This window comes from Homo sapiens, chromosome 3, assembly GCF_000001405.40.
Source record: "Homo sapiens chromosome 3, GRCh38.p14 Primary Assembly".
Classification (NCBI taxonomy): domain Eukaryota; kingdom Metazoa; phylum Chordata; class Mammalia; order Primates; family Hominidae; genus Homo; species Homo sapiens.
In genome coordinates, this window is record NC_000003.12 from 63,740,854 (window position 1) to 63,763,711 (window position 22,858).

The 22,858-nt window shown below is 37.2% G+C and overlaps 1 pseudogene across 2 annotated transcripts in view; it reads right to left on the reverse strand.

Moving 5' to 3' along the window:
• Positions 1-17,143: 17,143 nt before the first annotated feature.
• Positions 17,144-22,858, reverse strand: part of CDHR18P (cadherin related family member 18, pseudogene) — a 55,641-nt pseudogene continuing 49,926 nt past the window's right edge. For both annotated transcript variants that reach the window (NR_197414.1, NR_197413.1), the window contains one exon: positions 17,144-17,625. The product of NR_197414.1 is annotated as a cadherin related family member 18, pseudogene, transcript variant 2 (transcript). The remainder of the gene's footprint in view (positions 17,626-22,858) is intronic.

A 22,858-nucleotide genomic window follows, 5' to 3' on the forward strand; every position in this document is an offset into this window, starting at 1 on the left:
ACTTAGATTGGCCTAGAACCATGGAGTGACCCCCTCTGTATTCCCATGTCCCAAGCCACTGCTCTCTCAGCAACCAATTTTAATTTAATGAAACTGATCCTACTTTATGCTTAAATAGTGCTTACAGTTTAAAAAGCACTGCCAAAGGTGGAACTACAATTGTTTTGTGTTGTTTCTCATGGCAAAACTATGAGATACAAATGGGGCAGATATTATTGTATACATTTTCCAGAAGAAGAAGCAACGAGGTTTAGAGAGGCTACGTGATTTGCCACAAGCTTTAGACTTCAAATTCACTGATGTCCTCTGCACCATAATGCCTCCTGAGAATGGACCCATTTGAAGTAGACATCAAGAAAAAATGAGTCGTTTATTTTCAGATGCTCTCTTTCATTAGGAGGCCTGGTGTCTCTGAGCTGAAAAGGAATCCTCTGTGTGTATACATGCAAAGGAAGACAAATAAGACATTTCTTATCATCCAAGCCCCCAATATGCTCTGAGTCAAATAGTTCATTGCTCATTATATGTTTTACTTTGGATAAGATTAATTTTTAAAAAATTATTCCAAGCTGAACTCCATCATGGACTAAATGTAAATTTAGCCTCTATCATCAACAGCATTTCTGGCCTCCTTCTATCATATATCTTCTGATATCCAAGGCAGGAGATAATCAGAGAGTCCATATGTATTTTAAAACTTATTGTCTAAGTACATAGCTCTTGTAAGACTTGATTTTGACATTTCCTTGGCAATTCACTAATAAGTAAAGTTTTCAGGTGGTCATTCTCTATAGGGCTATAAAAAGAAAATTAAAAGCAAGATCAATTGTGTTTTGAAAAGTGCTGAAAAAATCCTGAATTTTTTATGACTACCAGACACCAAAAAAGTTATTTTCTAAAGATAATTCTCCTTTCTGTTCCATGAGTCATGGAGGAATAAGCAATTTGAATTAAAGGCAAGAGATCTGAATTCATATATTCAAATTTATTTATTCACAAATGTATACAGAGCCCCCACTCTGTGCCAAACATGCACTGGGGCTAAAGCAGTGAGCAAAATAGTCTCTGATCTTAAAAAGCATATACTCTACTGGGCAAAGTAAGACAATGAACATATGTCAATTTAGTATCTTGTTTTCAGCAAAACATATTCAGAGATTCAAAGCTCACCACTCCTGCCGCCTTCACACAGACACCCTGAAATGGAAGACCACAGAAAGCTATAAACACAGACAAAGCAGCTGGCCTCATGTCTATAATTTTAGGTAGCCAAGAAAAACTGCCTGTGACAATCATATACACAAAAAAGCAATCATTCAGGAGCTGGAAAAATGCTATCCTTGCAAATGAATTTTTAAGGATGTGGACTCCTCTAAAGGATGGACCTCTAGGAGGGAATGTATGTTTGCCAAGGGCTCCTTCTGGTGCCTGGAGGTCTTCTTCCACTTTCTTGCACCTGTTCTGCTATTATATTAATATACGTTCCCAGAGACTGTGGGAAGGAAAAAACAAAACACAGACAAAGTGAATTACAGTGAACTTGCAAAGCACTTATTTTTCCCATGAAATGTTTATTGAGCATTTGCTAGATAGCTGGCGTAGTGACAAGTTTATCTTCTCAAGTCTTGTTCTTTTACCAAAGGAAAAACTAGAAGCAGAACCTGAAGCAGTATGTGGTTTCACATGCATTAAAAATTGCCCCTTTAACACAAGGGAGTTATTTCGTGGTATCGGAACAGTGTTGCATCTTGACAGTGGTAGTAGCTATCTGAATCTATAAAGGTGATTAAATGTCATACACATAGACATATAAAAAATAAATATATGCAATAACTGGGGAAATCTGAGTAAAGTCTGTGGTCTAGTTAGTTGTATTGTACCAACGTCAATTTCCTGATTTTGGCAATGCCCTACAGTAAGGAAAGATGTGACCTATGGGGAAAGCTGGGTGATGGGTACACAGTACCTCTCTGTATTATTTTTTTTTTTTTGTAGTTTTTTGTGAGTTTTGTAATTATTTGAAAAGCAAAAGTGTTTTTAATTCAAATGGGTTTTTTTAATTGAAATTAATCTGCCATGTACAGGATCTGAGGTTTAATTAACCAACCCTTCCCAGAAACAATAATGTAATAACAGTAATATACAAGAGAAAAGAAATAAGGTAAAAAATGGCCTGATATAGTAGGAAATCAACCAATTATTTCTTAGGTGACTGAGGTGTTAATTAATGAATAAAAAGAATAATGATAACAATAATAACTGATCCTATAGTATTTACTATATGCCAGACTCTGTTTTCATATATCAATTTATTTAATCTGCTCAATGTCCTTTTTAGGTAAATATTATGTGCCACATTTTAGAAATAAGAAAGCTGGAGCACAGATACATTAAGTAATCTGCCAATACCACATCATCTATAACTGGCAGACCTAGATTTGAATCCCAACAGTCCAGCTGCAGACTCTAAATACTAATGACCTAGGGTAGGGGGCCACATCTTATCTCACTTTAGGTTGGGCTCCATGAACAAAATAGTGCCTTATGCATCATATTTTAGATTCCACGGAACATTTGATAAATGATAGTATGTTCTAACACATATAGGTAAACCTATTTTTATTTTAAAATATTTCTCTTCTTTAAATGTCATGTGAAACTTCACAGCACTGAGTCTGCTCTCAAAGATACATTAATTGAAAGGTGATTCTTCTGCCAGGACCACTGTACTAGAGTGAATAATGCACTTCCCTTCCTTCATACACACACAAATCTATACCACCAAAAAATCTACACCGTCATTCAACAGTTCATGTTGGAACTGAAAACAAATTGCTGAGGCACACATCAAACATCCAGGTTCAAAATAAGCCAAATGCATCCATCCAAACATACAGTAACAATATCCTCCTATTGAGTAGACCAAAGGTGACAAGTATCTGTCAAACACTGAATCAACAGAAAGTGACTGCAATAGCTTGTTGTCTTTATTGGATCATGTATACTTGTTTTTTTTCTCTTGAAAATGGAAGTACCTAAAGCCAAGTCTTTGTTGATGCACTGGTTTTCTGCCAGGCCATTCAATGATAGGAGAGGTCATGAATAGTGTTAGGGATAAAGGTTTCTGTGTCAGACTGCCTAGCTTCTAATCCTGACTCCTTCCTCTCACTAAACTATGGTTGTAGGGAAGTTGCCTTGTCTCTCTGGGCCACAGTTTTCTCATTTATAAAATGAGGATAATAATACTAGTCAGTACCTCATAAGTAGTTATGAGAATGTGCAATTCATGTAGAAGCATTTTGACCACACTCAGAATTCAGTAAATGTTTACTTTATTTTGATATTAGAAATACCCTAAAAACATCTTGCAATAAGTCTGCAACTGCATAGTTAAATATAAACATTTTCAGTTTGCTAAGAATAATAATGTTAAAATTAAATAGATTACATAGCAGCATTATTCACAATAGCCAAAAGGTGGAAGCAATGCAGATATCCATTGATGGATGACTGGACAAACAAAATGTGGTATGTAAGTACAAGGCGATGTTATTCCACCTTAAACAGGCAGGAAATTCTGACACATGCTGCAACATGGATGAACCTTGAAGAAAGACATTATACTAAGTAAAACAAGTCAGTCACGCAAAAACAAATATTGTATGAGTCTACTTATATGAAGTACTTAGAGTAGTCAAATTCACAGAGACAGAAAGTAGAATGGTGGTTAACAGAGGCTGTGGGGAGGGAAGATTAGAAAGTTATTGTTTAATGGGTATAGAGTTTCAGTTAGGGAAGATGAAAAAATTCTGGAGATAGTGGTGATGGTTGCACAGCAATGTGCATGTACTCAGTGCCACAGAACTGTACATTTATAAATAGTTAAAATGATAATTCTATGTTGTATATATTTAACACAATAAAGGTTTAAATAACTTAATAATTATGAACTGCTTAGAACAAGCCTGGTACACTGTAAGTACTAAATGAGTATTTATAAAATACACTTTTTTACGGATCATCACTGGTCATTAGAGAAATGCAAATCAAAACCACAATGAGATACCATCTCATGCCAGTTAGAATGGTGATCATTAAAAAGTTAGGAAACAACAGATGCTGGAGAGGATGTGGAGAAATAGGAATGCTTTTACACTGTTGGTGGAACTGTAAACTAGTTCACCCATTGTGGAAGACAGTGTGGCAATTCCTCCAGGATGTAGAACCAGAAATACCATTTAACACAGCCATCCCATTACTGGGTATATACCCAAAGGATTATAAGCCATTCTACTATAAAGACACATAAAAACCTATGTTTATTGCAGCACTATTCACAATAGCAAAGACTTGGAGCCAACCCAAATGCCCATTAATGATAGACTGGATAAAGAAAATGTGGCACATATACACCATGGAATACTATGCAGCCATAAAAATGGATGAGTTCATGTCCTCTGCAGGACATGGATGAAGGTAGAAACCATCATTCTCAGCAAACTAACACAGGAACAGAAAACCGAACACCACATATTCTCATTCATAAGTGGGAGTTGAACCATGAGAACATATGTACACAGGGAGGGGAACATTACACACCAGGGCCTGTCAGGAGGTGGGGGGCTAGGGGAGGGATAGCATTAGAATAAATACCTAATGTAGATGACAGGTTGATGGGTGCAGCAAACCACCACGGCACGTGTATACCTATGTAACAAACCTGCATGTTCTGCACATGTATCCCAGAACTTAAAGTATAATAATAAAAAAACTTAAATATATATATATGTGTGTGTGTATGTGTGTGTATATATATGTGTGTGTATATATACATATATACTTTTTTAAAGAAGGAAACAAAAAATGGCATACAGTAATTTTTGTTAGTTCCAATAATAACAAGAAAGTAGAGGAAGGAGCCCAGAGAAGGGCACGGCTCTCATTGCAGGCTGCTCTGTTATTCTTACACCAAGAAGTCTGGTACAAGACACTCCACCCTCGGCTGTCACACAACAGTCATCTTGCTGCCCTTGTACCTAAGGACCTAGCTACCTACTCCTTATCTGACTCTTTTCTACCACTATTAAGATTCAATCTCTGCTCTAAACATTTCCACTAACTCTTTTCCTCCCTGTCTTTGAAAGGAAAGAAAGCCATGTTACTCTAGACACATTTATTCCATACTCTAGACTCTAAGCCTTGTTTTAATATGCATAAAATGGGGACAATAATGGTACTTCTTTCACAGGAAGATAGAATATGAAAATAGAATGTTAATTCTCATTGTTTGGAACTTCAATGGGACAAGTCATATTTGGCATAGGTGAACACTCAATAAATGTTCATGTATGCTTTCAATGAATTCCTGGAAATTGGAACTCATTAGAGCCAGATTATTTAATATAGGTCAGATAAGGATATAAACAGTATGTTTTTAATTTTACAAAATACTTTTTAAAGGAATGACTTTCTTTAAGGAGAGCCTGGCAGTCAGTAATAAAGCATCAATAATTTCATGCCAAGCTATCCAGAGCTGTCAGGATTTAACTTGCAGTAAAGTGTCACAAGCTGTTATCATACCAATGAGTCTTTTATGGCTAATATCTCATGTTGAGTGACACTTTACAAAATGACTTTTACTTTATTATATTCATGTTTAAACTTCACAACCACCCCATGAAAGACAGAAAGCCCACACTGTCATGCCTTCTTTGCAGCTAGTAAAAGGGAGACTCAGGGAGGTTAAGTGCTTTCTCCATGTTCACATGGAGTGCTAGCAGTTGTGTCAACACTCAAACCCTAGTCTTCTAACTCTACACCAAGGCTTTTCCAATAACTCTGATGACTTTCTATTTCTGCCTCTTTCTTTAGGGAAGAAATGCATGAAAAAAAAAACTTCAAAATGTTTTGTAAAATGGAGGTATGATCTGCTCTGCAATTCCAGGTATCATAACAGATAAATATTTAGACCAGGTATTGCAAATCCACGACCCATTTGGACTGTAGATGTGGTTGATTAAAGATGGCCACAAATTCTTTGACTCCCATACCTTGAGAACAGGGGTGTATGCTCCTCTCTTTGAATCTGGATAGACTCTGACTGCTTTAATTAGGCAGAAGTGATGCTATGCCAATTTCCAGGCCTGATCCTCAAGAAATCACAACTTTCCCTCCTATCTCTTGGCTTTCTCTGAGAGATCTAAACTGCCACATAGGATGTCCACCTATCCCTGCTGGAGCAACTACATGAAGAGTCCCTGTATTAGTCTGTTCTCATGCTGCTAATAAAAGACACACCCGAGACTGCACAATGTATAAATGAAAGAGGTTTAATGGACTCACAGTTCCACATGACTGGGGAGGCCTCACAATCATGGCAGAAAGCAAAAGAGAAGAAAAGGCACATCTTACATGGCGGCAGGCAAGAGAGCTTGTGCAAGGGAACTCCCATTTATAAAACTATAAGATCTCGTGAGACTTATTCACTACCATGAGAACAGTATGGGGGAAACTGACCCCACGATTCAATTATCTCCATCTGGCCCCACCCTTGACATGTGAGGATTATTACAATTCAAGGTGAGATTTGGGTGGGGACACAGCCAAACCATATCAGGCCCTGAGATTATAAGAAGAGGAAGTGGAACCCAGAAGGGCCAAACTGTAACTGTCCCCACCAAGCTGTCATGCTTGTGAGTGAAGCCACTGTGGACCCACAAGACCAGACAGGCTGCCAATTGAATACCATTGAAGTGACCCTTCATAAAGAAAAAAAAGAAGAAGTCCAGGTAATACCTGCTCAAATTCCTGATGCAGAAAAGTGTGAGATATAATAAAATGGTGCTTATTCTAAGCTAGTAAGACTTGGGGGAAGTTTGTTGCACAGTATATAACTAGGGAATGAGGCAGATGTGTTTTATTTGGCCCATACAGTGGAGTTTAATTGAATTATTTGCCTACTTTTAAAAGTGGGTGGATTTCATGTAACAATTTGGATTTCTATCTTCCTTTTGAAGTATCAAAATTATGGCAACACAAGGCCTCTTCCCAGTAATTTGATGGAGCTGAGTGACAGCCATGTCCCCCAAGTATTAGCTGCCATTGATGATTGAATTTGCTGTTTTATCTGACCCCTTACAGTCATTTATTTACCTGCCTGGCCCTAAAATAGTATGCCTTAGGACCCAGTCTCATTTTATAAAAGAATAAGTAATTCATTCACATAGTTTAATATCTAAATAGGTGAAATGCACTTAAATCAAAAGATATTTAAACACCATATGTGGATCAATGGCTTCTGCATCAAACACAGTCTCATATACAGTGGTTTCCTTTTAAAAAGCACAGTGTATTAGCAGTAAAATCAGCTTTATAAGATTTGTTTTTACAAGTGTTGAAGACTTTGAGCAGATGACTTATTATAAGTTACCTCATCTTTCTAATTTATAGAGGGCTAGCAGCCTCAAGACAAAAGACTTCCCACTGTTTGTATCACCTCCTAATCCCATCCCCCACATCAGTCTGCCTGCCATACCCTCTTATCATGTATGGGAGGTGCTATGGGCTGAATTATGTCCCCCAAAATTCGTATGTTGAAATCCTAACCTCAGAGTGTGACTGTATTTGGAGATAGAGTGATTAAGTTAAATGAGATCACAAGAGTGAGACTTAATCCAATATGACTGATGTCCTTCTAAGAAGAGGAGACTAGGACACAGACAGCACAGGCTGAGGGACAACTGTGAGGACGTAGTAAGAAGGTGGCCATCTGCAAGCCAAAGAGACAGGCCTCAGAAGAAACCAAATCTGCTGGCACCTTGATCTTGGACTTCCAGCCTCTAGCACTGTAAGAAATAAATTTATGTTGTCTAAGCTACCCAGGCTGTCATATTTTGCTATGGCAGATGGAGCAGACTCATACAGGAGATGAGCTGGCTTCAGTTTACTAAAGAGGCAGAGGTAGGAAGCATTGAAAGAGAAGAAGTTTATGAAACAATGTTGGGTCAGTTAGGATTCATCTAGAAATGTTCTTGGTTTATGAGGAGGCAAGCAGAGAGAAAAAAGGAAATGAAGACTAAAAATGCCCTTCCTTGTTCCATTCTACATTTGCTTTTCCTGGAACCAGCCTTACCCTTGTATAGTCGTTTAAATGGATCATTTAGTAAATGAGCCTCAGTCAATTTGAAGATGGTTTGCATACTCTAGGGTGTAGATTTTTTAACATCTGCTAAGAAACTCCAGGGCTGAAAACTTATTTAGCTCAATAACATGTAGAAACTATTTACAAATACAGTGTCTATTTTTATTTCTATTTTATTTTATCTTTTTGAGATGGAGTCTCACTCTGTCTCCCAGACTAGAGTGCAATGGCATGATCTTGACTCACTGCAATCTCCACCTCCTGGGCTCAAGCAATTCTCATGCCTCAGTGTCCCAAGTAGCTGGGACTACAGGCGTGCACCATTATACCTGGCTAATTTTTGTATTTTCAGTAGAGACAGGGTTTTGCCATGTTGCCCAGGCTAGTCTCAAGCTCCTGACCTCAAGTCATCTGCCCTTCTCGGCCTCCCAAAGTGGCCTCCCAAAGTGTGAGCCACCATGCCTGGCCTAATTTTTATTTTCAAGAATGGTGAATAATGCTAAGTTTCCCATTGTCTACAGTTTTTTGTTTGTTTGTTTTTTTCTTGAATGCACTTGTAGTACTTGAGGCAGATTTTGACCTAAGCCAAATTCTAAAACTTAACCTGAATTTACAGTTTTGTAATGCATACAAATTCAGCAAAAGGAGATAAATTGAGATGCTTTTACTTCCTATGGTGATTGAGTATATTTACCATATGTTTACATGAAAGAAATTTTCATTGAACAACAATTACAGGGAAAAATGTAGTTCTCTTTCTTTTACTATAGAGGGTCACAAAAATGTACTTACTGTTAATACTTCTAATTTTTTATTTCTGTGTCCTGTGACAATATTTTCCTTTTGATTTCCATCGCCTATTCCAAAATAAAGAAATAAAAGTCAGGTACTAGATGAGTGGCATTTTAAAAATCACACAATTCAAGCATAATCATGTAACAATTAGCAATCTGTATCTTACCTGCAATATACTTAATTCCTCTGTATGAAAAGAAAATTTGACAAAATATCAGCTTTATTATGTTAACACATGACAAAAATAATTTCATTCAATAGTCAGCACATGATTATCCCATCTCCAAGAAAAAAGAAATACTGTATAAGAAGAATAAAATGGTCTTCATTAACCATCACCACCTCCTTCACTGCACCATAAATAAATTCTATTTAGTTAATAAACATTCATGTCCAACTCTATTTTTGAAGTCATGATATTCTGCACTCTGAAGAAATATTTTTAGATGGTGAGGAAAGTAGCTACATTTTCTACCCATTTATTTGTCCTCTCTGCCCTGCTCCAGATATGCTTCAGATAGACTTAAAACCAGTCAGATGTGTGGAGAGGGTACCTGCATTTATCACCAGTCCCTCAACTAGTTTATGGTGCTTCTCAAACACCTATGAAACCACTTACATTAAAATAATATGAAAAATTGTTTGTTTGTTGGCTCACAAATTTATTTGTTTAAAACATAATCTTGGCTGGGTGCAGTGGCTCACGCCTGTAATCCTAGCACTTTGGGAGGCTGAGGTGGGTGGATTGCCTGAAATCAGGAGTTCGAGGCTAGCCTAGGCAACATGGTGAAACCCCATCTCTACTAAAATACAAAAAATTAGCCAGGCATGGCGGCATGCACCTGTAATCCCAGCTACTCGGGAGGCTGAGGCAGGAGAATTCCTAGAACCCGGGAGGCGGAGCTTGTAGTGAGCCGAGATCGTGCCACCGCACTCCAGCCTGGGCAACAGAGCGAGACTCCATCAAAAAATAATAATAATAATAATCTCTCTCACAGAAAATCTGTTTCATGTGTTCTAAGGTAGAACTCAATAACATGTTGTTGCTGTTTTTCAAAGAAAGCTCCCCAACTCTTTCTGGGATAGAGTAGGTTTGAGATCATTGGTAAAAGGAACCATCAGGTTTCGTATACCAAGTACTTTCCTCTGCCCTTCAAAAGCATACATAAGTCCTTAGAGTAAGTTTACCAAACCTCAACTGGTTTTAGCTCTTTATATCAAAAGCTTAGAAAGAAAAATCACATACTTGGGTTTGGCCTTGGAGACTTCCTTGGTCATTTTCTGACAGCATTCCATAATGTTCCCATATTTCCAAAGCAGGAAACATACCCAGGAAATCAACCCAGCAAAGAAAATAGCCATCAGAGTGAAGATAAGAGGAATGTACCAGTCATTGGATTTGTACGTGTTTATAGCTGTGTACAGGACGATCAGACCTTTTCTTTGCTGGGAAATATCGTTTCAAAGGAAACAGAGCATTAGTTGTGTTTTCAGAAAGCATTTGTTTACACATAGTAGCATCGGTACAGAACCACAGTCCTTTACAGACAGGAAGATACTGTCTAACATATATATATATTTTAAAACACTACAGGTATTTTAAAATACCGAGGAACACCCTTGCATACAGAAGGCCCCAAATTAAGGAAGTGAATACTTGAATTGTATGCAATGACCACTCTATGATCTTGAACAAACCATTTCTCCTCCTTGTCTTCAGTTTTCTCATTTGTAAAATCAAGGGTTTTCACTAGGTGGTATCTGAGGTCCTTTTAAGTTTATATGCCCCATTATCTGCTCTACACACAGTAACTGCTTTTGTGCAGTTTAAGAGAACAATGTGTTCTTGAAAACCAAGCATTCTGTTGGGAGGATTTACCACCCATGTTTTTTTCAATGCTTCTATTTCAAAGGATAGAAAACAACAAAATAAACTAACCATTATGTTTACTGAACAGTTTATCTGTGCATTATTCAGGAGCCATTCTGGAATTCTGCAGAGGCTTTACATACCTATTTTTTTTAAATAATGAAATACTGAAAGGTCTGCTAAACTTCATGGGGTTTGGATTGAAGATAAAATGAAATGATGAATATAATACATGCAGTACAGTGCCTGGCACATGGTATGTGCTCATGACTGTGAATATCATGGCTACTAGAGAAGAAACTTTTTTTTTTTTTTTGAGATGAGGTCTCACTCTGTCACCGAGGCTGGAGTGCAGTGGCGTGATCTCGGCTCACCGCAACCTCCACCTCCCCATTTCAAGCAATTCTCCTGCCTCAGCCTCCCGAGTAGCTGGGACTACAGGTGCCTGCCACCACACCCGGCTAATTTTTTGTAGTTTTAGTAGAGATGGGGTTTCACCGTGTTAGCCAGGATGGTCTCGATCTCCTGACTTCATGATCTGCCCGCCTCGGCCTCCCAAAGTGCTGGGATTACAGGCATGAGCCACCGTGCCCGGCCGCGAGAATAAACTTTCAAAGTACCCATTTGTAGAGATTTTTTAATTGATAAAATTCACTGAGTAGTGGGCCCTTCTGATGGGCAGGACTTTCAGATCATTCAGATGACATAATTAGTTTCTTAGGAGTTCTCTATGCTCTACTTGCAATTCTCATAAATTCTGTTTCACCTCTCAATTTATACTCATAGATGTACACTCTAAAATGTGGTCCTGTGGCTGGATGGGGTAGCGCCCAAGTGGAAAAGCATATGGGTGAAGGTGCTGCCCTGAGTAGCCCTTTAGCCTTTTTAGATGAAACTTGAACTTACAGTAGAACATTTCCCATACAGAGACCCAAATTAAATTCTATAACTCTTTACTTCACAACTAGTGGTTGGAGGAGGTGGCATATTGGCTCTTCTCACATAAATATCTATAACAGCGGTGCCTGTCCTGGGCTTGGTGGATTTGCCATATTTCAAGTTATCATCAATTATATGCACAACAAGATGGTACTGCTGCTGTACTTCAGCTCTACATTCAAAGTTGAAAGGATTCTTCACAATTAATTTTGGAGTATTTGAACCTCGAGTTGGGTCAAATCCAAAATGATGGTTCTCTTTTCCTTTAAAAGTGATAATTGAGAAGTTAGAATTATTTTAAGGTATATTGAAAGATTTTCTCAAACTACCTTAAATTGCTATTAAAACACAGTAGGCGTAAATTTTTTTAAAATTTCCATTGCACCCTGAGTTTTTATATCTATACATGGCTTATAATAAAGCTGAGATCAAATGAGCAACAATTTCAGTTGGTTAGGAAAAAAAAATTTTGAAGATTAAGATCATGAATCTGATCCCATATATAGCCAGCAAGCCTCAAATTATTATCTAATTGATTCTCCTTTCCTTCTACTCAGATCAATTTGATTCCCATCTTCAACTTAGTCTAGATCAATATCAAATGGGCCGGTCAGATCATAAATATCTATTGAGCCCCTTCTAATTTTAAGTTATCTCCATAGCCCTGGAGACATTGTTGATACACAGGGTCCCTACCTTCATGGAGCTTATCACCCAGCAAGGGAATAAGACATCAAACTAGTCTTTATAATCAATTGGCAATGTCCTTACTGATTTCCAAGCTTCTACTCCTTCAGATACATGACAGCAGGTCTGATCTCCATAATTTAAATAGGTCTCCACGTTATGCTGTCTCATGATACCCAGTAGTTTTCTTTTATAGAACTTATCACAGTATGTAATTTTATAATTGCTGGTGTTACTACTAGTTTAGTAAACAATGAGTGCCGTGAATATCTGTCTCATATACTTCTGTGTACACATTTCCGAGCACATTGCCTGATACATAGTTGGTCCCAATATATGCCTTTCGTAAAAAATAAGATGGCTTAAGTTGATATGGATCTGTGCAAATCCAAAAATAACACAGTTTGAAACCACGCATCCTACTGAATCTGTACTAATAGCATCAAATGGAAAGGTGGCTGTTGTTATCCAGTACCATGGACAGCAGACTTCATTCCTTGTAACTTAACCTTCAACATTTCCCATCCAGGTTCAAAGTCCGTTGTCAAAGCATCTGTAAAATTACTGATACTTCCATTATGGGAGGAATTAGATTTGATATGTGAAAGTAAAAAAGATGCCTTGAGGAAACAATGCTATAGATATTAAATAGTTTAACTGTTATAAACATAATTATTTCTGAAGTTATACATAATATCTAACAGGGCAAAACTAATGTCAATTTGACATATGCTCACGATTAAAAGAAATAATAAAATTATGCACCAGAAACCATCTCAAAACGCATTTCAAAATCTTGTGACTCTCCGTCGTGGCAGTTCAGGGTGAAGCCATTGACATTTGTCCCAAGAACAACATTGTCAAAAATGACTGTCTTATATAGAGAGGGTGTGCAGACAGGTGCTTCATCATTCTCATTTTCAATGTCAACAGTGATCTGTCAGCCATGAGGGAAGAAGAAACATCAAATCCACACCATGTGACTACTTATACACAATATCAGAAATAAGCATAAGGGTAGAGACGGATCATTTGGAATTATTAAATAAAAAGTCTAGAGATTTGGATTTAAAAAAAATGTTCCTGCAGATTGGAATTCTGGCCATCAATCAACTAGTCAGTGGTTTATTATTCCTGGGTTAACTGTGACATTCAATGTAGCCGTTAGGTAGGATTTTGGCTCATTAGATAAGCTTGTGGAAAGCTCACAAATTATGTAAATGATGAGAAAAGGAAAGCTGAAGAATGATGCCTCTAGAAATTGTAATCCCTTGAACTCTTTAAATATCTATGCTTAAAGGCATAGATAAATTTGCTTCCTCTTTCTCAAAAGAACTTCCTCAGTACTACTCTCTCAAACTCAATATTTTATTGGTAACAATATGATTACTTCAAAGTATGCTCTGACCTTAATTAGGGACTGTTATCAACCTTTTCTTAATTAAAATACCATAAACTAGGAAACTATAATTTACGTAGAAAAAGATCAAAATATCAAGAATTTTTAAATGTCAGTGATTGAATACCAGTCAGCCTAGAAAGGTTATCTACCCACTTCTTAGATGACTAATAACTGTCTCAATAATACTTGCAGAAGAATCCGTGGTGCACCAATATTTGCAAGTATTATCTTTTTAAAGTGTTTTATGTAATGTTTTAAAAACATAGCTAAATTCTTAAGGAATGGTTCATTCTTTAATGCTACTTCTATAGACTGAATACAGCTATGTGTCTCACCAAGTATGTGAGACTTTTTACATAATAATTAAACGGATTTTAAGGAGATTTCTGGAATAGTCCAGTGCTATTTCCATTATATCACAGAAAGATATCAGGAATCTTTATTAAAATCCTGGGCCTGACACTTATTGATGACTTTATTTGGCACTAGTGACTTACCTTTTCTTTCTTCAACTGCAAAAAGCAGATCTCAATCTCTACCTTCTCAGGACTGTCAGAAGGATCAGTTCATTCATTCAGTGAATATTTATTGAATACTTACTATGTGCCAAGCACTGATCTAGACACCACAGAAGCTACAGTGGTAAACCAAAAACAAAGACCCTGATCTAATATAATTTATTCTAATGACGAAAGCAAAGCAATAACTATACTGACAAATAAATATATTAGGCAAAATCATAGGATAAGCTGATGCTATTTGGGTTAAGGAGATAGAGAATAGCTGATGGAAGTATTTTAAGAGGGATTTATTTCTTTGACCCACTCACCTATTCCCTCTCTCTCATGTTTGTTATATGTCCTTAAGCATGTATGTATCCTCATAGAATATGTAGCTTTTAGTTGTATAATTTTGACTTGCACAAATGATATGGTGCTATAGACCTTTTGTGTTTCTTACTTTTCTCACCCAGCGCCATATATGTGCTTTCCATGTTTTTGTTTGCAGAATTCATTTGCTATTTCTGGAGTCTGTATTCTGTAGTATGCATCTACCATATTTGCTTGTTCATTTCCCATGATGAACACACATGGATTGCTTCAAATGCCCACCATTACACACAATATAAAAGGCCCTTAGAAACAAATTTCATTTGGGCAGAGATATGATTAAAGTGAGAATATGAGCCAATGGAAGATAAGCATTACAGTCTTTGGCAGAGGTTCTGAGGTAAAACATTGTTGGTGTGTTGGAAAAACAACAAATGTTTCATGTGGCTGGATTGAAGTAAGTAAGAGGGAGAGAGCTAGGAGCTAAAGACAAATTGGTAGCCAGGGCCCAGATCATAGAGGGCACTGCAGACTTTGAAGATGACATTGGAGCTTAACTAAGCATGATGGGAAGCCAATGGAGAATGTTGAGGAACAGGATGATTTATCTTTTTAAAAGGTCACTCTGGCTGTGGTGTGAAGAGTAGGCTGTGAAGGGCACAAGTAGGAATGGGGGTTCTAATCAAGAAGCTGCTACACTAGACCAGGTGAGGTATGGTAAAGGCACAGTTGGGGTATTAGCAGTAGACAAGTTAGAAAAGTAAGAAGTGGAAGGACTTAAGGTACATTCTGAAATTAGAGAAGACAGAAATTGCTGTTGGATTGGAGAAATAATTTAGGGTACATGATAGTGATTAAGTACTCAGACTTAATCCTTCTCCTTCTTTCAGATGGGTAATCTTGGATAAGCTACCTAACTTTGAAGCCTTGGAAATAAAATTCTTCCATCTGTTAAAAGGAGTATCAGTAACTATTCCATAAGATGAGATTAAATTCTAAATGAGATAATCAAGGGCATTTCATAGCACTTGACTTTTATTAGATTCTCAATAATGAGTGGGTGATGATGATAGTGATGATGATGATGATGATAGTGATGATGATGATGATGATGGATTCCTAAACTTTGGAGCCTAAAGCCCTATCTCCCTTTTCTGAATTGTGTGTATATATATATATATATATATATATATATATATATATATACACATTATATATATATATACACATTATATATATATACACATTATATATATATACACATTATATATATACACATATATATATACACACACATTATATATATATAAACACATTATATATATATAAATTTGGCATATAAATATATATAAAATTTGGCAGTTGCTATATACTAGTTAACTTCCCACATGTTAAAATTTTGAAGCTCTCTGGTCATATATGCTACCTTATACTTCCTTGTAACAAAGGATGTTGTACATAGAGTAAACATTCAATAAATATTCATTAAAGAAAGAATGAATGAGCAAGCTCCTGCTTTGTTTTTGGGTGAAACAGAGTCACTTGAAGATTTGGGGGTTGTTGAATTATTATTAAATCTGCTTTCCCCTCTTCTCATTTGTAGTAAGTAAATGATAATTCTAAGTGGTATCATCCTATACTATTTGGGAGTCCTTAAATGTCTACAGGAAAAACTGCCACAGGTACCTAGGTCTAAAGATTACTCTTATGGGTATCATACTGAGACAAACAAGCCACTTAATCCCTTCCTCATGACTGTAACTCAGTCCCTGTGAAAGTCATTCTAATTATGATATAAATGGTTGATGTTTTCATCACAATGACACACTCAGAAAACCTAATAACCACATAAGCAGCAAGCCAGGGGGCTCTGTACAATAGGAGGAAATGTACAGGGAGTCATTAGGCCAGATGGAGTCCTTATAATTATTTAAGCCTACTGTTAATGTAAATGATGAGAAAAGGAAAGCTGACGAATGATGCCTCTAGAAATTGTAATCCCTTGAACTCTTTAAATATCTATGCTTAAAGGCATAGATAAATTTGCTTCCTCTTTCTCAAAAGAGCTTCCTGTTTCTTCTCCAATGACAAAACCTTATTGTCATTAATAACACACACCACATCATCAGTACAGCAGCATTCACCCTTGGTTTCTTTCAAGAGTCCTTTGACATTGCTTACATAACTTAGAGGGCCATACCTTCCCCCACTTTGATGCCAAAAGAATGCACCTTGGTTAACTACCTTCATTACAAACATCACCTCTTAACAAGGGGCAGACTGTATTTAAGTCTAGTTCTACAAATCTTATAATTAGGGAATTAAGGGAAGTTTTCTAAACTCTGTCCCTCAGTTTCCTCACCTGTAGGGTGAAAATGATTATAGTATATTATTACCTACCTAAAAAGTTTAAGGTGAAGTTGTACCATGTCAATATATATAATGTGTCTAGAACTGAACACACGGTAAGTACTAGGTGAATATTTGACATTATTATAAGTTTATTATTTTCATCAGAATGAGGGGTATTAGCAGGTTCTTCATTTTCAAACATGCCTCAAACTTTTAAAGTATAACATGTGCAAAAGTTACAGAATGCTTAGGCAGTAAGAGAAAGTTATGAGCTTCTCTATTCTCCATTGTTGTAACTGTTTGGCCAGTCTGATTTTAATAAATTAGAATTTAATAGAGCATCTCTATAATGTCAAAATCTGGGTCTCTCTACTTATCATGGTCATTGCTGTACAAGGGTGAAATCTGTCACAGTCCACAGCTTCCACGGTGAGGTTATATTGCTTCACAGACTCACAGTCTGGCTGTGTGGTAAGTTCGATCATTCCAGAGAGAGGATGAATCCAGAATCTTTGTATAACCTGGGTGTCTCCATTGGCTATTTCGTATGTCACACAATTTGGTGGGTGCTCTTCATCAATGGCAATCACTCTTCCAACTTTATAGAATGCTGCCAATAACATTTTATAAGGCTCATTCTCATCATGCAGATACACTGCTTTAAAAAAAACTTAACATGTCTTTGCCTACCAAATAGTATCACAGTTTCTCAAAGGATCAGCCTCTATTCTTTTGGATAATGAAATATGTTTGAAGACCTTCAACTCAACATAACGGAAAACAAATTCAGAGAAAGTCCTCTATCACTTTAAACCATTTGCCTTGAGTCAAATAACATAAGTTAACAGTAACTTTATAATAATAATGATTAGCTTACATGCACTGCATGAATATTTTCTACTAGGCATCATGCTAAGATTAGCATCAGATAACGGTTCACAGCCCAGACTCTGAAACCAGACTTCCTAGGTTTCAAGTCTCAGGTCTATCATTTATTTGTGCAACTCATTGGAAGATTCTTCAACCGCTCCAGCCCTCATATTATTTATCTGCAAACTAGGAATAATATCTACCATACAAAGTTGTGAGGAGTGAATGAGCTAAAATGTATAAAGCACTTAGAATAGTGCCTGGTATGTAAGTAAATACTAAGTAAAAATTAGCTATTATTTAATTGAATTATCTCATTGAATCTTCTCAACAGGCTTATTATATATCCACTATTACAGTCCTCATTTTATAGATAAGGAAATTAGGTCTAGTGGTATTAAGTAACTTGCTCACTGTCCAGAGCTAATAGTGGTAGAATCAGGATTTAAACTGGTACCTGATGATTCTACAGCCCATATTTTTAAAATCACTTTCTGTAATTCCAGTGTGCAATACCCCCAGATAATCTCTTAGAAGAGAAATGGGTATGATCTATTGGCTGCATAACAAATAGGCTCAAATTACTATTATTATTATTATTGTTATTATTATTTTGAGACAGGGTCTCACTCCATCACCCAGGCAGGAGTGCAGTAGTGCAACCATGGCTTACTACAACCTCAACCTCCTGGCTCAAGTGATCCTCCTGCCTCAGCCTCCTGAGTAGCTGGGAGTACAGGTGCATGCCACCACACCTAAGTAATTAAAAAAAAAAAATTTTAGAGACGAGGTCCCGCTATGTTGCCAAGTCTGGTCTCAAACTCCTGGGCTCAAGCAATCCTTGCACCTTGGCCTCACAAAGTGCTGGAATTACAGGTATGAACCACTGCACCCAGTCTAGACCCAAACTCTTTATCCTTCCGATGTTCATGCTTTTTGCCATTTAACCCCTTAGTGCCCCTCCAATTCTGACTTGGGGCCCAGCCCGCAACTTGTTTTGGCCAATGGGATATTAGCAAATCTGATGCCAGCAGAAACCTGAAAGGTACTTGCATGATCAGGCTTGCCTTTCTTGTGCACTTCTTTTTTTTTTTTTTTTTTTTTTTGAGACGGAGTCTGGCTCTGTCACCCAGGCTGGAGTACAGTGGCATGATCTCGGCTCTCAGCTCACTGCAACCTCCACCTCCTGGGTTCAAGTGATTCTCCTGTCTCAGCCTCCCAAGAAGCTGGGATTACAGGTGCCCATCACAATGCCTGGCTAATTTTGTTTTTGTTTTTGTTTTTTGAGATGGAGTCTCGCTCTGTCCCCAAGGCTGGAGTGCGGTGGGGCAATCTCCGCTCACGGCAACCTCCACCTCCTGAGTTCAAGCGATTCTCCAGCCTCAGCCTCCAGAATAGCTGGGATTACAGGCGCCCACCACCACACCCAGCTAAGTTTTGTATTTTTAGTAGAGACAGGATTTCACTATGTTGGCCAGGCTGGTCTCGAACTCCTGACCTCAGGTGATCCGCCTAACTAGGCCTCTCAAAATGCTGGGATTACAGGCACGAGCCACCATGACTGGCCTCTTTGCACTTCCTCCTTTTCCCTGAAAACAAGCTCAGGCTAGCCTGCTGGAAGATGAGAGAGGAGCCAACCTTCCCAGTCACCCCAGCCGAAGCCAGAATAGATCAGCTGAAAGCTAGCCAACTCACAATTTTGAGCAAGCCCAGCCATGACCAGAGAGACAAGCCAGCCACTTCTTAGACTCATGGGCTAAATAAGTGTTTATTGTTGTATTACACTAATATTTTGTGGGTCTTATTACATAGCATACTTACAGTAGTAGGTAACTGGCACCACAAGTTTACCCCTCAATCATTTTTGCCTGAACTGTAAACTCCAGGGCAGGCATCTTATCTCTACCATTTAGTGAAATACCACTATACAATGGCTGGCTCACTAACACAAGTACAGCACATTTTGGTTGCTAATAACCAAGAATAAAAAATTAATATAAAGCAATCATTTCATTGCTGTGCCCGCCACTTTCAACCTAGTAAGGTTTCTTTCTCTGTTTGTATCCTCCTTTTACCAAGGTTCCCTATCAGTCTCTAATAATATGTTATTTTTCGTTTGTTATTATTATTTTTTAATAGAGACAGAGTCTCACCATGTTGATCAGGCTGGTCTTGAACTCCTGGCCTCAAGTGATCTGCCCACCTCAGCCTCCCAAAGTGCTGGGATTACAGGAGTGAGCCACCATGCCCTGCCTAATAATGTGTTATTAAGCAGGCAATGAACACACCTCATAATACCAAAAACAGAGAAACCATACTCATGAAAAAGAATGTGTTTTACTGTGGCAAATCCAGAATATAGAGTCCAACCTATTGCTCGCATGAAATAATTCGTACTAAGAGAATAGCGTCACAACTGATACAAGACCACATAAAATAGATTACTGGTAAAACTGCCATCTCTATTAGACAGTCCTGGGCAAAGATGGTGTCATTTTCACATTTAACACCTGAATAAGTATAATAGGAAGCTTATTCTTCTGTAAGTGTAAAATTAACCTTTCAATAAAAACTAAAAGCTATACTGAGCATCTTTAGCTGAAGTTTAAAATAGAGTAATTATGAAATTCTGCAATTCTGCCAAATACCTCATCAAAAACTATTGGAAATAAAATATATTTTGCTTTGTGACTTGCAACCCAGTGTGATTTAATTATCATGTATTCTCTTCTAAATAATTTCTGATAAAGAAATATTTTTGCCTATTGCTAACCCCCTCTAGAAGTGTTTGTGAATTTATCACTTACCTTTAGAAAAAATTTACTATAAATATTATAAATTTCCATAATTTGGGGGGAGAAAAACTCATGTAGTTCTCAAATACACTCAAATTTTCTGTGCTAATCCACACAGCATGAAAAAGACTTCCACATTAATGGATTTTTTAAAATGTCCTCAAAGTCTATAGGCTAAACCTTTGATATTACTAGGATAGTTCATTTTCTGAGTAGTTTTACCTTCCCAATTTCCTCCTTTAAAGCAAATTTCCACTGATTGTGAAGATTTATCTCCTCTGATGGACATCATTTGAGATGAGACATCTCATTTGAGATAAGACATCATCTCAAAGAACAACTCTCACCTAAATTTACTCAGTTTATGTACTCTGTTTATGTACTAAATTTACTCGGTTTATGTACTCTGCTGGGGAAGATGAAGAGAGTTTGTTTGTTTGTTTGTTTTAAAAAAAAAAGAAAAGAAAAGAACGGGAAAAGTTCTGGCACATTCTACATTGTAAGCACTCAATAAATGATAGTGATTATTATTTGCAATGGTGTGCTAATCCTCCTCTTAATTCATAAAATAATTATTGCAATCTTTATTTTACAGATGAGAACTTGAAGACACATAGAGATTATGTGACTTGCTTTGAGTCATTTAACTAGCAGTAACAGAGTCCGCTTTAAATCTAGTTCTATATAGCTCTAGCTCCCATAGTTTTTTGCTATATCAGTGTGCTCCCTTTTAAAGACCTAGGAGTCCTCTGTCTGGGAGAGCAAGTCACTAGACAACTATTTGGAAAACAGTACCCACTTAACTCTTTGTATGAATTCTCAGAACTTGTTTTCAGATCTCTGTTGGTCTCAGTCATAAAAATGCATCCAAGAAAACCAGCCTGTAATACTAAACAGAGAACTGGACCAGGAATTTGGAAGTTTTCATTTAGCTACAACATCTGCTACTTATTAGCTGTGTAACTTTGGATAAACTCATTTCTTTCTCCACTCCAATTTCCTCATAGTGAAAAAAAAGAGGTTGAATCCTTCAGCTGTTCCAAATCAACAATATTATGACTGAAAATTCTCAATCCTTCTTCTCAGCCATCAATAAAGTATTAAATTACACTTAAGAAAACATGTAAGTGTTCAATACATTTAGAGGGTTTTACCTTCAAACATAAATTAAATTTCAGGAAAACTTCAGTTAGTTGGAAAGAAACTGACATGAAACACTTGCTTCTCCTAAAATGGCATTTTTAAAAATGCCAGTCTCAAAGGCAAAACTATGGAGATGGTAAAAAGATCAGTGGTTGCTAGGGATTGGGGGAAGGGAGAGATAAAAAGGAAGAGAACAGAATTTTTAGGATAGTGAAACTACTCTGTATAATCGTAAAATGGTGGATACATGTCATTTTACATTTGTCCAAACCCATGGAATATATAATGCCAAGGGTGAACCCCAGTGTAAACTGTTAACGTTGGGTGATAATTATGTGTCCGTGTAGAGTCATCAATTGTAAAAATGCACCACTCTGGCAAGGGGTGTTGATAATGGGGGAAGCTGCATGTCGCGGGGGAAGGGGTGTATAGGACATCTCTGTACTTTCCCCTCAGTTTTCCTGTGAACCTAAAACTGCTCTAAAAAAATAGTATCTTTTTTTAAAAATGCAAGTATCTATTTTAAAATCTTGTTTGGTTCTGTTAACTTTGCGAGGTCATGGAATCCCTTTTGTAACTTGATAAAGCCTATGGAGCTTTTCCCCCAGAGATTCTCAAAGCCCATGTTCACACCCTCTGCTCCATATTTAGGATTTATAAGCCAGGAAATGATTAGATGATTGTGAACTACTCAACTTCTGACTCATCATCATGCTCTTTTAACTCTAGAACTCCCTGGAGCTAGAAGATTACACTATTGACCACCACAGAGAAATGGAAGAATATGAAGAAAGGAAAGAAGTCATTGTAATGAGGCTCTATCAATAAAAGATTACTCAAAAATCAATATTGAGTACTTCCAAAAGCCCATAGGCAGAATGGGGGGGTGAGAGGGGACCAGAATCCTGTTTACAATACATTCAATTTATATGTAACTTTTCTGGATTGTCTGGTCACATATTGCAAAATCAGACTGTATTATATTCCAGAACCAGGATATAATAGGTGTGTATTTATTTCACAGAGACGTTAAGA